The sequence below is a fragment of the Homo sapiens genome, chromosome 9, assembly GCF_000001405.40.
Source record: "Homo sapiens chromosome 9, GRCh38.p14 Primary Assembly".
NCBI lineage: Eukaryota > Metazoa > Chordata > Mammalia > Primates > Hominidae > Homo > Homo sapiens.
In genome coordinates, this window is record NC_000009.12 from 17134212 (window position 1) to 17151669 (window position 17458).

At 39.7% G+C, this 17458-nt stretch overlaps 1 protein-coding gene across 18 annotated transcripts in view, besides 1 other annotated feature; it reads left to right on the plus strand.

The window, feature by feature from the left end:
• The first annotated feature begins 828 nt into the window (after window positions 1-828).
• CNTLN (centlein) overlaps window positions 829-17458 on the plus strand; it is a 393595-nt gene continuing 376965 nt past the window's right edge. For 15 of the 18 annotated variants that reach the window (XR_007061321.1, XR_007061322.1, XR_929282.3 and 12 more), the window contains exons 1-2: window positions 829-1214; window positions 9077-9165. Coding sequence is in view for 15 of the 18 variants with exons in the window: in XM_017014839.2 (XP_016870328.1) it covers window positions 855-1214; window positions 9077-9165 (449 nt within the window). In the remaining 3 variants the exon portion in view is untranslated. The remainder of the gene's footprint in view (window positions 1215-9076; window positions 9166-17458) is intronic. The other 3 variants (XM_006716793.5, XM_047423519.1, NM_001286985.2) reach the window with 1 other exon arrangement.
• Window positions 1110-1673: an enhancer, noted in NCBI's record as "H3K27ac hESC enhancer chr9:17135319-17135882 (GRCh37/hg19 assembly coordinates)". NCBI's record gives its function as "activates a minimal SCP1, AML or CMV promoter by ChIP-STARR-seq in primed H9 embryonic stem cells {active_cell/tissue: H9 hESC(primed)}" and the evidence as "EXISTENCE:reporter gene assay evidence [ECO:0000049][PMID:30033119]".

A 17458-nucleotide genomic window follows, 5' to 3' on the forward strand; every position in this document is an offset into this window, starting at 1 on the left:
AGAAGAAAAAGAAAAAAAAGAGAACAAAAGATAAAGTAGGTCTTGTTTCTTCATCCACGCTCCAAATTACTGATTTCAAACTGCTCCAAGGACCCAAACTGTTCAGCAATGTGGGCTACACTTCCTCTGATATCCAGCCAACGCATAAAGAAGCTGACATAAAAACTCAAAGGAAATCATGACTCCTGCAAAACAAAAGACAAAGGGTGTACAAAGGATCATCATTCAAGTTGGAAACCTGCTTGATAGTCCCAGATCAGCACAAGGCTTTCCACATCTCCTTGACATTAGTCAGCTGGATGTCAGCTGTACTAAAGCAGTTTTGCCAAGGGGTGTGAAGAAAACACTTAAGTGTAAAACGTATTCCTTGATCCTCAAGGAGCTTACAACAGGGCTGGGGAGATTAGCCGTGTAACTGACACTCCAGGGCGGTCAATGAAACGTGTCACACGAGTTGGCAGGGGCCTTGAAGGAGAGGGATTTCACAGTTAAGGATCATTTGGGGCTGGGGGCTTGTCAAGGAAGGCTTTAAGAGGTGGGATGTAAGTGGCAGGCAGGGCTTTAGGTGGGCGGGAAATCCAGGCGATCCTGGCCAAGGACTCAGGCACAGGACGCTGGGATGGCCTGCCCGGCGGACCGGCCTTACCCTTTCGGGCCACGGCGCGTGCGTACCCCAAGGCTCGCGCTGGGCGCATTGCCCGCGGGAAGCCGGCCAGGACCAGAGAACACGGGACACCGCGGGCCAAGGCGGGAAAAGCCTCGCGCATGCGCGGTTCGGCGTTCCGGGCTCGCCGGGTTGGGGAAAGGGAGGTGGAGTTTCCAACAGGGAACTTGACCCGTTAGCAGCCGCAGCCATGGCGGCGCGTTCGCCTCCCTCACCGCACCCTTCGCCCCCAGCGCGACAGCTGGGCCCCAGGTCCCCACGTGTTGGGCGGGGAGCTGAAGTACACGCAATGCGCAGCGAGGCCTCGGGTTTTGCCGGCGCAGCGCGGGAGGTGGTCGCGGACGAAAGTGATAAAATCTGGGTGGGTGAAGAAGGGTCAGGGGGCCGGCGAGGGCCTGGGGGGGCAGCTCCGGCTCATGCTCCCCTCCTCAGCGCGCCCATGGGGTCCAGACGGCTAGAGGGCATCTCGGTAGAGGAGGCGATGGTGACCCGGACGCAGCTGCTGGAGGAAGAGCTGAGCAGCCTAAAGGAGGAGTTGGCCCTGTGTCAGGTATCGAGGAGTCTCGCAGTCCCCCTTTCCCCACCACAGCGGGGCCGGGACCCGTGGGGAGGCGCGCCTTTCTCCCTCTGCCTTGGGACCTACCCCGCCCAGCGACGCTCCCTGGCAGATGCACACCCTGCTTCGCTCGCGGCCGGGGGCTGGAGGGACGCGGCTGCGCCCGGCTCCCCAAACCCGGGCCCCTGCCCCTTTCCGAACTGCGGCCAGACAGGCTTCGCCTCCGCGCCCGGGTTTGGTTTTGGTCACTTGGATACTCGCAGTCGCATCCTCTCCGCTTCCCCCCCAAGCCCAAGTTCTTGGTGGTGACGGTAGCTGATACCTGCCGGGGGCCCAGGAGTGACATGCAGTCCACTAGTTGAAATGAACAGGAAAGTGTAAACACTTCGGTTAGAGTAAAATCCATCGATGAAGGAGCCTGTTTTTAAAATTTCAAACCCACACTTGGCTTTGTTTTTACCCAGTCAAACTTAAGTTGTAAACACAGACGAGTAACGTTTAGAAAGTCTCAGAGCCGGGAACTTAACAATAGATGATGCTTGGTACTTGTTTATTAACCAGCTATGGTAATTCCGCGGTCCTTGAGTGAGAAATCACATTTTCATGTGATCTTGCCAGTGAAAAACATTTGCTAAATCAATTGCATTAAAATTACTTTCCTGTTTGTAGAGTTTTTGTAAGGATGGACTTGACTATACTCATGTTCAAAGAGATTGAATTTTCCTTTAGTTTTGCATCCTTACCATCATCTCTTTTGATTTTACCAGAACCTTTAGATAGGGTTGGGAGATTGGATGTGGGAAACTCACTGAACAGTAGATCTTTAAGTCACTCTGTCTTCAACTTAGAAACCAATTAGGAGCTGCTGAACATCAAAGTAACTTTGTGAACAGTATCATCAGTTTAATAAAACAGTTCATGAAATTCATTCTCTGTCGCCCAGGCTGGAGTGCAGTGGTGCAGTCTCAGCTCACTGCAAGCTCCGCCTCCCGGGTTCACGCCATTCTCCAGCCTCAGCCTCCCGAATAGCTGGGACTACAGGTGTCCGCCACCACGCCTGGCTAATTTTTTGTATTTTTAGTAGAGATGGGGTTTCACCGTGTTAGCCAGGACAGTCTCGATCTCCTGACCTCGTGGTCCGCCAGCCTTGGCCTTCCAAAGTGCTGGGATTACAGAAATTCATTCTCTCATAGTTTGTTCTGTTGGATTCTTTTGCCCATTTTATAGGTCCTTGCTGACTGAGTGAAGGGTGTAAAAATGGGACCATCTTCAAATTGAATGTGCCTTTGGTTAAACAAGGTTGGGACATTTAATATGGTGCCCTCTTTTCGTTTTACCATTTTTCTGTTCTTCGTTGGATAAGGAGCAAAGGGATAAATAAATGACAACAATGAATTGAAGCATTTGTCATCTGCAGACCTCACCCTTTGGGGAGTTTTAAGATGTGAACCCATGATAAAGGCCTTTGATACTCTGAGTCCTAATCTAAGACACTCTTTGGCATATTTTCCGCACTCTTTCCTCCCACTTCTGCCTCCCCACATAGTTAGGCCTTTAGCTGGCTAAAGAGCTAAGATACTTTTTTATGACCGACTTGGTTAAGGAAGTCAGTCTATTGGAAACAGCCTGATGAACCTCTTCCCACAAATACTTACATTCTTTAAAAATGTGGCTCCAAACATGGTGTTGGCTTTTGTGACCTCGGACATATATAGACTAGGAAAATGATTGACATACTCTTGGCAAATGTAAGAATACAGAGATGGTCATAATAGTCTAGAATGATGATCTCTTAGATTTTGTAATATTAATACTCTTATATAATTGTAGGCAGTATCCCGCACCATAAAAATCTTAGTCAAATCAGACTCCTGCTCTTCGGGAATCTTGGGGAAAAATAGTAATTGAACTCCCAATTGTTTTGTAAAAAGCATTTAGGTGATTAAATATTCACTTTTATATCTTTTAAAGTATACTCTCCCGCTTATTTATTCAGCTAGAGATCACAGTACCCAAGAATACATAGCATTAAAACTGCTGAAAATTACAACTCGAAGTAAAATTTTGTATCTCAATCTAGTAAGTACACACATATACAAACATATATTTTCAGAAAGAATACATGCCCTAATACTGTGTGGGCTGATATTTTTTCAGTTCTATTCCTTTAAAAAATGCTGTCCAGATCTAAATTAATTTCAGAACCCAACAAGGCTTGAAACATACAGTTTAGGAAAAAGAACACTGCTAATTAGTCCATGGTCATAAGTAGTAGCTTCATTTAATTTGTTTTGCTTTCACATTCAACTTATGGGAATTCAGTGATGTGTGCTTGGTGAAGTTTGAGTAATTCCCCATACCATTCTACATCATTGGAATGCCTCAGAATAAGCATGTAATAGAAAGCAATCAAATGTTTCTCTTAATATCAGCATCTCATCCCACTCTAAGTGATTGTATTATCTAATTAAACTTTAAAAAAATATGGCCCCCTGATTAGCAACTGAACTATAAATAATGCTTATATGAAGAAAAAGTGATTAATTTCAATGAGGGAAGAAAAGCTATCTGTATTGGACTTACTGAGGGTAGTAGGTAAGCTTCCAAATGTAGCTTTTTCCTAAGGAATTTTTCAAGGGTGTTCCAAAGGGTAATTTTGCATCCATGGCATTTAATGCCCTATTTCACTAATTTAGAACCTAACTCCACTACACTTTTAATTTTGATTATATATTTCAAGAATGTGTTCTGTTTGTGATAAAGGATGCTGGGGCATGTGTATTTGTACATTTATCACCATTTATAGAGTGAGATGAGAAAAAAGTGTTATGTTTACATAGAAAGAGTAATATGTTTATATAGCATTTATAAAGCTTATTTTTTGGTATCAGGCAAAAATATTGACTAAACCTATAAGCCAGTTTTAGGAAAAAAATTAGGGTATTTAAATGAAATATGAAATTAGTTTCATCATTAAAGCTCATCCACTTTAATGATGAAACCAACTTTTGAAGCAGGCGATGTTGGAATTGTATGTGATCAGAGAAGTCAGCCAGTTATATTTTATGTTAGAAATTTAGATGTGTTAAAACTTCATTTATTCACAAAGAAAAACAAATTTGAGAACTTACTGTGTAATTCCACCAGTTGTTTGTAGCTGTATTCTACTTGGCGAGTCTTTTTGTGAAATTATTTTTCATGCTAATAATTTACTAAGTGGCTACCTGGTGCCATATTTTGTAAGTAAACTCTTGACATCCTTTGCCCTGAGCTCTGATGACCAAATATTTGTTTAGATTTAGGAAACAGTTTCAAGTGTTTGTTGAGTTCATTCCTCCAGTAGAGGTCAATTGAGGGCTTAATATATTGCCAACACTAAATTATTTTTTGTGGGACTAGGTACCCAGTGAAAAATGGCAATTTGGGGTGTCTGTGTTTGTATAGATGGTATCTATTTCCAGGTCAGTTGATGAAAGACAAAACCAATCCACCTCCAGGGAAATTTAGACCTAGTATTTAGTATTTAGTCAACTGTTTCATAGCCCAAGTTTAATAAACTTTGTGAAAATGATTAGGAATTTTTATTTTTAATTTTTAAAAATTATTATTTGATTCTGTTTGGAAGTTCTATAGTGAGAAAAAAGAATTATTATTTTATTTTTATTTTTTATTTTTAGATGCAGTCTCGCTCTGTCGCCCAGGCTGGGGTGCAGTGGTGCAATATGGGCTCACTGTAACCTCTGCCTCCCTGGTTCAAGCTATTGTCCTGCCTCAGCCTCCTGAGTAGCTGGGATTACAGGTTCATGCCACCACGCCTGGCTGATTTTTGTATTTTTAGTAGAGACGGGGTTTCACCGTGTTGGTCAGGCTGGTCTCAAACTCCTGACCTTGTGATCTGCCCGCCTTGGCCTCCCAAAGTGCTGGGATTACAGATGTGAGCCACTGCACCTGGCCTGAGAATAAAGAATTTTATAATGACAGTAGTTTGGGAGGCTGAGATGGGCGGATCACTTGAGGTTGGGAGTTTGAGACCAGCCTGGCCAACATGGCGAAACCCAGTCTCTACTAAAATACAAAAATTAGCGGAGTGTGGCAGCATGCACCATTAATCCCAGCTACATGGGAAGCTGAGGCAGGAGAATTGCTTGAACTTGGGAGGCGAAGGTTGCAGTGCACTGAGGTTGCGCCACTGCACTCCAGCCTGGGCAACAGAGTGAGACTTTGTCTCAAAAAAAAAAAAGGAATTTTATAGTGAGTAATGTTAGGTTTTTATTTTTTGTTTTCATTTTATTTGTGACAGTCTCCCTCTGTCACCCACGCTGGAGTACAGTGGTGCAATCATGGCTCATTGCAGCGTTGACCTCCTGGGCTCAAAGGATCCACCCACCTCAGCCTCCAGAGTAGCTAGGACTACAGGTGTGTGCCACCACACTAGGCTAAGTTTTGCATTTTTTGTAGAGATGGGGTCTCTGTCTCCCTGTGTTGCCCAGGTTGGTCTCGAACGTCTGGACTTAAGCCATTTGTCCATCTCAGCCTTATAGGGGTGAGCTACCGCACCTGGCCAAGGTTTTTATTTTTGTTATTTAAAAAGAACATCTTTAAGTGCCTGAAGGAAGGGAAAATATAAAGAGAATATGAGTGATTGATAATAGTTTCCTTGTATTAATGTCTGGAACAGTTTGGAAACTAGTTCTGTGTTTTTTCGGGGGGGGACTTTATTTTTTGTATATGAAAGTTTTTTTAGTAATTCTAGGTGTAATCCAAATTGACCATAGTATAGCATTTAAATAACTGAAAAACTCACAAAATTCATATATAACATAGTTCCACAATCCATTTGTAACATTTTATTGTTCACAAAAGAATTTACTGTTTTTCATATCACCAGACTTACTGTACAGCATGGTGTTATAGTTAATAACAATAGATTGTGCACTTGAAAATTACTAAGAGAATAGATTTTAAGTGCTCTCATCACAAAAAAATGGTGGGTGTATGAGGTAATGGTTATGTTTTTTTCTTTGTTTTTTGAGATAGGGTCTTGGTCTATTGCCCAGGCTGTATGGTTTCATGATCATGGCTCATTCTAGCCTTGACCTCCCGGGCTCAGCAATCGTCCCACCCTCAGTCTCCTGAGTAGCTGGAACTACAGGCGTATTCCACTATGGCTAGCTAATTTTTAAGTTTTTTGTGGCGATGGGGGTCTCACTATGTTGCCCAGGCCAGTCTCAAACTCCTGGGCTCAGATGATCCCCTCCCATCTTGGCCTCCCAAAGTGATTACAGATGTGACCCACTGTGCTCGCCCTAATGGTTATGTTAATTAGCTTGATTTAACCATTCTAAAATGTATACATAAAACATTATGTTGTATGCCATAAATATATGCAATTTTTATTTGTTGATTAAAAAATATTAAAAAACAAAAATTCCAGAAGAAGAAATGGGTAAATATATTTCTAATCTTGGAATAGAGAAGGCTTTTCTAACTGGTACATAAAATCCATAAGCCATAATTGAAAAGATGGATACATTTGAGTATGTAAAATTAATAACTTGCTTTTTCAAAAAAATCATCATAAATAAGCAGCAACAGACTGGGAAGAATATTTCTAACAATGGGTAGACACAAGTCTAATTTTAAGATTTCCTTTAAGTTTCCAACAGCACTTATATTTCATTGACAGAACTTAGTCATATAACCCATAAGGCAAGGGAGGTTGGTCTGTTACTTGGGCAGAATTGTTTCTGTAACTAAAAAGAGAGAATGGATGACGGAGACAGAAATTGAGATATCTGCCACACAAGTAAAACCAAATCACTAAACATACAGGATTATTAAATGAAATGTGCTGTGAAAAAAAATTGTAACTGGAAAAGGGGTTGCTAGAGACTTGGGGTTTTGGTGGCTGTGATAGTAGTCAGGGGAGAATTCACTTGAGATATTATTTAAGAAAAGGCTTGAATGAAGTGAGGGAATACTCTATGTGAAAGTGTGATGGATGATGCAGTATGTGCATTGGCCCTGGTTCAAGTAGAGCAAGTAGAGTAAGAAAGTCTGTGTGAACAAGGAGGAAAGTGACAGATGAGGTTGGGGAGGTGTATATGGGCCAGGCCATATGGAGTCTTGTAGCCTTGACACAGAGTTTGGATTAGTTTCCTAATTTAATGGAAACTCACTGGAGAGTTTTGAGTTGTAAGGCTATGAGACCATGATACATAGCTGGGCAAGAGACGGAATTGACTTGGACTAGGGCGATAGTGGTAGAAGTGGTGAGAGTGGTCAGAATTTGCCTATCATGTAGATAAGGACAGTAGGGTTTATTGATGATTTGGATATGAAGTATGAGGAGAAAAGAATAACCAAGATTGGCTGGGCACGGTGGCTCATGCCTGTAATCCCAGCACTTTGGGAGGCCGAGGCAGGTAGATCATGAGGTCAGGAGTTCGAGACCAGCCTGGCCAATATGGTGAAACCCTGTCTCTACTAAAAATACAAAAATTAGCTGGGTGTGGTGGTGCGTGCCTGTAGTTCCAGCTACTCAGGAGGCTGAGGCAGAAGAATCACTTGAACCTGGGAGGCAGAGGTTGCAGTGAGCCGAGATTGCGCCACTGCACTCCAGCCTGGGCGACAGAGCAAGACTCTGTCTCAGAAAAAAAAAAAAAAAAAAAAGAAGAATAAACAAGATTGACTCCTAAGTTTTAGATCAACCTAACCCTAACACCCGGCTCATAGGTGGGCCGCATGCAGCCCAGGATGGCTTTGAATGCGGCCTAACACAAATTCTTAAACTTTCTTAAAACATTATGAGATTTATTTTGCAATTTTTTTTAGCTCATTAACTATTGTTAGTGTTAGTGTATTTTATATATGGCCTAAGATAATAATTCTTCTTCCACTGTGGCCCAGGGAAGCCAAAAGATTGGACACCACTGTTTTAGATCTTTGAATAAATGAATAGATGGCAGTATCAATTTCTGGGAGGGAGAGGGGCAGATTTGTGAGAGGGTAAGGAACCAATAATTTTTTTTTGAACAAGTTAAATTTAAGATATCTATTAGATTTTCAAGTGGAATTATTGAATATGCAGTTGGAGATGTAAGTCTGGACCTAAGAGTAGAGGAAATGGCTCTAGATAGAAATGTGCGAGTCTCAGTGTAGAGTTGGTACTTAAAATCATGGGCCTGATATGAGGTCACCTAGGGCAGTGGTTCTCAACCCAGAGTGCACAGATTCACTCGAGGCACTTTTAAAACATACTGATGCTTGGCTCTAACCTAAGGCCAATTAATCAGAATCTCTAATTCATCCCTATTTTTTAAAAGCTCCTCAAAAGAGATACCTGTCAGCCAAGGTTAATAACAACTAACCTAGGTAATAAGGACTGAAACTACCCATTGTCCTTTGGATTTGGCAATATAGAGGACCTTGAATAATGATTTTAGCATAATGGTGGTTAGGAAAATCTTACTAGGAAGCATTATAGAGTGAATGGGAGATAGGAAACAGACATAGTAATTACAGGCAACTCTTTCAAGGAGTTTTGATAAAAGCGGAGCTGAAAATGGGGCAGCAGGGAGGGAAGTTTCCTTTTAGAGCAAGTTTAACTAGATATTTAGCATTTCAACAGTTGCATCCCAAAATATAGGTGATAGAAATAGTAAAAGTGAATATGGATTATCTGTGTAATAACTTTTTAAAATAAAGTTTTACCCCATTCCTTTAAAGAGAATCAGTTGATGTAGTTATACAACTAGGGATCAAGTAATTGTTTTTTCATTTTAAAATTTAATGTAGTATCTTATTTCACTACCACTACAAAGCAATGCATCTAAATTCTCTTTTATTTCTTTAAGGCTGATAAAGAATTTGTATGGTCTTTGTGGAAACGTCTCCAGGTTACAAACCCAGATCTCACACAAGTGGTCAGTTTGGTTGTGGAAAGGTGAGCTCTCAAATTATTTTTTCATGAGTATTTGGTGTGTTGAGTTTGTTTCTCTTCATTATTAAAGTTAGTACTTATCATTAATCTCCTAAAGAGATTCATTTAATTTCTGAATAAATGTGGAGCTAAAAATTAAATTGTTGGATTTATTATGAAGGGTGCCAGTTCACCAAGTACAGGTATGCCCTGTTCCTGTTCATATTCTGACATATTTGGAGAGTGTGTAGCTAAGAGATAAAACTATGTCTTAAATACTGTGTGTGTGTGTGTCTTGAGCTGTTACAGTTCAACCTTAAAAGTTGGCGAAGTCCCTGTTGTTTGACTTTTTACTCCATGGACTGCCTCTATAGGGAACTTACTAGACGTGACTCAGTTTTCCCCTTAGATAATTGCAGTGTGTAATTGAAAGCCGGGGATGACCTTGCCAGTGTAGAGTAAGTGTTCTGGAATAGGTTAAAGGATTTTACTTAGCACTCCATATTATCCTGTAGGAACTGCCCAGTCATTTAACTGTAGATTGTTGGGCCTCTCCTTGGTTATTAGAAACAGTGGAATGATGCTGGGTTCTCTCTATCAAACATTTGGTATACAGTATTCCCATGACACTTAGCACAGCAATGAAAACACTTGCTTTCTTAGTAAATGGATTTCATTATACTTTTTAAATGAGAAGCTAAGCATATGGATACCTTTTCCTTTTTTAAAAATTGGAATCATGATCCTAAAATCTGAATATCATTTTTTATTACTTGAATTATATTCACCCTTGTAGTCTCTAGTCCTGGGATCATTCCAGCGTTGTCTGAGATTTGACTTGTTAAAAATCTGTGATACATGCCTGAGTATGTCTAATTTTACCATCTTTGGTTATTATGAACACTTAAAATAGTATAATCAGTTTCTTCTCATGTTGCTTGTACGTCTAATTCATCAATCATTTTTTTCCTTCTGATGATCAGAATTAAGTCTTTTGTTGAAGTACCCTTGTTACTTCCTCAATCATTTTTGAGATGAAATGTGATCACTCTCAGACTCCCTCTGTTTTTTTAGTAGAATAAGCCTTCTAGAGAAGCCTTGGGACTTCAATTGTCATTTCCGTGATTCTTTATTCTCCTCTCCTTTTATTTGTTATTTTTTAAAACTTTCTAAACCTATCCATAATTTTTACTTTTCTCTTGGTTAAACAGAAGCAGATATTAAATTATTGTTAGGTCATTTTCCTCATTCTTTACAATGTCTGTTTTTCATATTTATAATATACAGAGTATATATTCATATAACATAAAATTTATAAATAAATGTACGTATGTATATTAGACGTAGGTGTTCAAAAGTCTTTTGTTGATAAGGTGTAATGAGAAATTTTGGAGATTACTGCTTTATAACTATGACTGTCAAAATTTAGTGTGCACAAGTTATACTTGGAGAATTTATTTATTTATTTTATTTTATTTTTTTTATTTTATTTTTTTTTTTGAGACGGAGTCTCGCTCTGTCGCCCAGGCCAGACTGCGGACTGCAGTGGCGCAATCTCGGCTCACTGCAAGCTCCGCTTCCCGGGTTCACGCCATTCTCCTGCCTCAGCCTCCCGAGTAGCTGGGACTACAGGCGCCCGCCACCGCGCCCGGCTAATTTTTTGTATTTTTAGTAGAGACGGGGTTTCACCTTGTTAGCCAGGATGGTCTCGATCTCCTGACCTCATGATCCACCCGCCTCGGCCTCCCAAAGTGCTGGGATTACAGGCGTGAGCCACCGCACCCGGCCTGGAGAATTTATTAAAATGAAGATCTCTGGGCCTTTTACCTGATCTACTGAATCTCTAGGGGGTGGGACCTAGATTTAAAATAAAGTTTAAAATAACATTTCCAGGTAATTCTGATGTCTGTAGATTACACTGTGAGATACTTTGGATTTTGAGTCTATTTTTGAAATTGGAAACGATAAGTGGCATTTATAATTTTATGACTATGTAAATACTTCCTAGAGAACCATGTAGTATGTTCACATCCATTGAGAAGTGAAAATGATATGCTGAATATTCAACCTATGTCTGTTAAAAAGAATATTCTAAATATCAAGGTCAAATAGATGATCTTTCTGTATAGTCCATTAGTTATCCAAATTATGATCCATTTAGGTCTGTTTAATTTTTAAACCGTGGACTTCCTGGACAGCATTTCCCCCCTGGAATTTCTCATTGCCCTTCTCTTTACTTTTTCTTATAAAGAATGTCTACGTCCTTTGTCAGACATTTGTATAACAGGCTGAGAACATTTTTCCTTTTCCTCTTTGGCTTATGGTATGGATTTGGACGAATTAATTTCTAAACCTACTCACGTTTGTCATCATAGGTTTTCTTTTCGTTGTACAGCTGAACTTATTACACAGTTTCTAGGATGCCAGATTATCCGTTTCTTTTTTGTCGGATTATTTTCAAGTATTTTTTTTCTCAGAAAGGATGGACAGGTGGTACGTTTTCTGACTCCTTAAATGACCGAAAATGTCTTTCTTTTGCCCTTAAGCTTAGTTGGCACTTCAGCTGAACATAATATTTTATGTCCATGTATTTTTGCCTTGGATTTTTGAAAGCATAGTTCTGTTATCTAAATTGAGCATACAGTAATGCTACCAAGGAGCCCATCAGTGTGATTCTTGTTTCTTCCTAGATAACTTGCTTGAAGCTTGTAGGATTTTCTCTTTAGGTGCACTATTGTAAAATCTCAACATCATCTGTTTATTTGGGTCCTTTGAAAATTTATCCTTCTTAGCCTTTGGTGGGCCTTTCCATTTCAAAACCTAAGATTTTCTTTTCATTGATAAAATGTTCTCATATTTTTTCTTCATTGTATTCTTTGTTTTAGCACTCTGTTAGAGGTTGGATCTTATGGATTTGACCTTCTTCTCTCTTTTCTCTCTTATCTCATGTTTTCCATCTTTTTATCTTTTGTTGTATCTCCTCAGTGGCCTTTGTACTTTTTGTTCCATCAATAAGTGGAATTCTTCTGTTTGCTCTATGCTATGATCTGAATGTTGGTGTCCCCCCAAAATTCGTATGTTGAACCCTAATACCCAATGTGATAATATTGATGAGGCCTTTTGGAAGTGATTACATCATGAGGGCTCGGCCCTCATAAATGGGATTAGTGCCCTTATAAAGGGGTTTAAGGAGCCTCCCTTCTCTTCTGCCATGTGAGGATACAGAAGGTGTCATTTACATGGAACAGACCCTTACCAGACACTGAATCTGCTGGTGCCTTGATCTTGGACTTTTCAGCCTCCAGAGCTGTGAGCAATACATTTCTGTTGTTTATAAATTACCCAATCTAAGGTATTTTGTTATAGCAGCCCAAATGGATGAAGATTCTCTTTGATTATTTGAATTTTAAAATTTTAGAAATCAAATTATTACTTCTAAAAATTACTTATTTTTTAATTTTTTCCTTTTTCAAAGTAGCTTTCTTTAATAGAATAATTTTTTAATCTTTCTGATTATAATTTTTGAATTCTTTTCTGTTTCTTGCATTATCTTTGTTTTCTGTTGGGTAACTTCTGTTTGTTCTTCCTAGTCTTTCTCTGTTTTAAATTAAAAAAAATTTCCTTGTCTTTCTCTTTGATGCTGTTGATTTTCTTCAAGTGTATAATGAACCTTCACTGCCTTGCTTTATATAGGTATGTTGCTCATATGGGTTTGCTTTGTGTTTTTTGTATATCTGTTTACCAGAAGGTTTCTCCTTTGAATGTAAGGTTTGCCTATGGGCTTTTTGTAAGGCTTGGGGAAGGGCCTATCCACAGGCTTTCCTGAAAGGTGTGTAGTAGATAGACTTCATTGTAGTGAATGAGAGTTAGGTCCTTTAAGTCAGGCCCTTTTCTAATTCTGTTGCTTGCCCAACACTCTGAGTAGGGATCTTTTCTGGACAAATGATTTTGAATGCAGTTTTTGGCCATTTGATGTAGGCAAATGCTGCAGGTAGCTGTTCTGAACATGGATGAGTGGGAGGCTCAGCTTTTTTTGGTGAATGGTTTCTTAATTAATTGTTTTGATTCCTGTGGGCTTCTGCTCTCTATACTTACTAATTGGGTACTTATAAGCCTTTCTGGGGCCTCTTCTATGAAAAGCAGCATCCTCTTCTGTAGACTTCTATTTAGGTTTTGGATTATAGTTTTTCTCCCTCGGTTTATTTGTCTCTATGAGTCTATGCTTCTGTTTTTAAGATATTTGTCAAATTTATAGTTCATTTATGGCTGCTGCTGTTGTTTCCCATGCTGATAAGGATTTATTTAATGTGGTGTGACTTGGGATTGTCAGTGTTGTGTTGTTAGCTCATCCCCTCAGAAAGAAGTATAATATCATTTTTAGGGTTATAGTATATTCTATTATTTAGATATAGCATATTTGTATTTAACCACTGTAATTTTGTTGTACATTAGGGCTATTTTTAAAAATAGTATAATAATGCCGTGATGAATGGCTTTTTGGATAAAGTTTGCCCTGTATTATTGGTTTCAACCGGTTGTGCTACCGACCTAGTGAATAGAGGCTGAGATTGCTAAACATCTTGAAATGAAAAGAATAATCCTGCCCAATTAAAGAATTATACTACTATACTTCATATGCCAGTAGTACCCATTTGGACTGTCTGTGTAGATGTGTTGTGTGTATATGCTTTACTTTTTATTATGGAGAAATTTTAATTAGATGCAAAGACAGAGAGAATACATTATTGAACACTCGTGTACCCATCACTCACCTTGAACAGTTATCAACACACGGACAATCTTGTTTCATCTATAAACCTCTATTCTCTCTCTCCTTCTACCACTAATGGATTTTGAAGCAAATCCTAGATATCATGCTATTTTACCTACAGTTACTTTAGTGTTTACAGACAATTCTAGTTATTAACAGTAATGTTCTGTAAAGTCACTACAAATACTTAATTAGCTAACACTGAACTATTACTCCTAGAGGAAGTAAGGGGTTAGGTTCCTGTAAGCCTCTGGTCACAACAATTTTGTCAACTGATCAATACATAGCCTCATTTTATGTGTGTTTCTGTTTAAAGATACTTCATTTATTGTTGATTCATTGACGTCGAACTCTTGGCCAAAAGCACTGTTAACTCATGCCTGAACAAAGCTTATCTAACCCATTGTTTTCTCCCTATGGCATGTCACAACCTTCTTAGGAACACTAGCCAGCACTTCAGCACTGTGCTTGATGATCATTTGAAGGACTGAAGTCATCAAAAACAAGCACCAAAATGTGACAAATGTGGTACTAAATAAACCGTGAAAAGGAAACTTGTGTTTATAGTATAAGAGCTGAAGCAGAGTGTCACTTTATTTGACATCAGTTGGAAACATGTGGGTTGTGTGACTCAAATTTTTTGCCACTTTGTGTGTACCTGCAAATGACTACAATAGTGCCACAATAATTTTTTTATTTTTATTTTTATGATTATACTTTAAGTTCTGGGTTACATGGGCAGAACGTGCAGTTTGTTATGTAGGTATACATGTGCCCTAGTGGTTTGCTGCACCCATCAACCTGTCACCTACATTACGTATTTCTCCTAATGTTATCCCTCCTGTAGCCCCCACCTCCGACAGGACCCAGTGTGTGATGCTCCCCTCCCTGTGTCCATGTGTTCTCATTGTTCAACTCCCACTAATGAGTGAGAACATGCAGTGTTTGGTTTTCTGATCTTGTGATAGTTTGCTGGGAATGATGGTTTCCAGCTTCATCCATGTCCCTGCAAAGGACATAAACTCATCCTTTTTTATGTCTGCATAGTATTCCATGGTGTATATGTGCCACATTTTCTTTATCCAGTCTATCATTGATGGACATTTGGGTTGGTTCCAACTCTTTGCTATTGTGAATACTGCCACAGTGAACATATGTGTGCATGAGTCTTTATTGTAGAATGATTTATAATCCTTTGGGTACATGCCTAGTAATGGGATTGCTGGGCCAAATGGTATTTCTAGTTCTAGATCCTTGAGGAATCGCCACACTATCTTCCACAATGGTTGAACTAATTTACACCCCCACCAACAGTGTAAAAGTGTTTCTATTTCTCCAGATTCTCTCCAGCATCTGTTGTTTCCTGACTTTTTTTATTTTCTTTCTTTCTTTTTTTTTTTTTTTTTTTTTTAGAGACTGGGTCTCGCTCTGTCGCCCAGGCTGGAGTGCAGTGGCTCGATCTCAGCTCACTGCAAGCTCTGCCTCCCGGGTTCATGCCATTCTCCTGCCTCAGCCCCCCAAGTAGCTGGGACTATAGGCGCCCGCCACCATGCCTGGCTAATTTTTTGTATTTTTAGTAGAGACGGGGTTTCACCATGTTAGCCAGGATGGTCTCGATCTCCTGATCTTGTGATCTGCCCGCCTTGGCCTCCCAAAGCGCTGGGATTACAGGCATGAGCCACTGCACCTGGCCTGTTTCCTGACTTTTTAATGATCACAATTCTAACTGGCGTGAGATGGTATCTCGTTGTGGTTTTGATTTGCATTTCTCTAATGACCAGTGATGATGAGCATTTTTTCATATGTCTGTTGGCTGCATAAATGTTTTCTTGTGAGAAGTGTCTGTTCATATCCTTTGCCAATTTTTTGATGGAACTTTTTTTTTCTGGTAGATTTGTTTAAGTTCTTTGTAGATTCTGGATATTAGCCCTCTGTCAGATGGATAGATTGCAAAAATTTTCTCCCATTCTATAGGTTGCCTGTTCACTCTGATGATAGTTTCTTTTGCTGTGCAGAAGCTCTTTAGTTTAATTAGATCCCATTTGTCTCTTTTGGCTTTTGTTGCCATTGCTTTTGGTGTTTTGGACATGAAGTCTTTGCCCATGCATATGTCCTGAATGGTATTGCCCAGGTTTTCTTCTAAGATTTTTATGGTCCTAGGTCTTACGTTTAAGTCTTTGATCCATCTTGAGTTTATTTTTGTAAAAGGTGTAAGTGAGGGGTCCAGTTTCAGTTGTCTGCATATGGCTAGCCAGTTTTCCCAACACCATTTATTAAATAGGGAATCTTTTCCCCATTGCTTGTGTGTGTCAGGTTTGTCAAAGATCAGATGGTTGTAGCTGTGTGGTGTTATTTCTGAGGCCTCCATTCTGTTCCATTGGTCTATATATCTGTTTTGGTACCAGTACATGCTGTTTTGGTTACTGTAGCCTTGAAGTGTAGTTTGAAGTCAGGTAGCATGATGCCTCCAGCTTTGTCCTTCTTGCCCAGGAGTGTCTTGGCTATGCGGGCTCTTTTTTGGTTCCATATGAACTTTAAAGTAGTTTTTTCCAATTCTGTGAAGAAAGTCAGTGGTAGCTTGATGGGGACAGCATTGAATCTATAAATTACTTTGGGCAGTATGGCCATTTTCACGATATTGATTCTTCCTATCCGTGAGCATGGAATTTTTTTCCATTTGTTTGTGTCCTCTCTTACTTCCTTGAGCAGTGGTTTGTAGTTCTCCTTGAACAGGTCCTTCACATCCTTTGTAAGTTGTATTCCTAGGTATTTTATTCTCTTAGTAGCAGTTGTGAATGGGAGTTCACTCATGGTTTGGCTGTTTGTCTGTTATTGGTGTATAGGAATGCTTGTGATTTTCGCACATTGATTTTGTATCCTGAGACTTTGCTGAAGTTGCTTATCAGCTTAAGGAGGATTTGGGCTGAGACCATGGGGTTTTCTAAATGTACAATCATGTCATCTGCAAACAGAGACAAATTGACTTCCTCTCTTCCTATTTGGATACCCTTTATTGCTTTCTCTTGCCTGATTGCCCTGGCCAGAACTTCCAATATTATGTTGAATAGGAGTGGTGAGAGAGGGCATCCTTGTCTTATGCTGGTTTTCGAAGGGAATGCTTTGAGTTTTTGCCCTATCAGTATGGTATTGGCTATGGATTTCTCATAAATAGCTCTTATTATTTTGAAATATGTCCCATTGATACCTAGTTTATTGAGAGTTTTTGGCATGAATAGGTGTTGAATTTTATTGAAGGCCTTTTCTGCATCTATTGAGATAATCGTGTGGTTTTTGTCATTGGTTCTGTTTATGTGATGGTTCTGTTTATGTGATTACATTTATTGATTTGCATATGTTGAACCAGCCTTGCATCCCAGGGATGAAGCCAACTTCATCATGGTGGATAAGCTTTTTGATGTGCTGCTGGATTTGGTTTGCCACTATTTTATTGAGGATTTTCGCATTGATGTTCATCAGGGATATTGGCCTGAAATTTTCTTTTTTTGTTGTGTCTCTGCCAGGTTTTGGTATCAGGATGATGCTGGC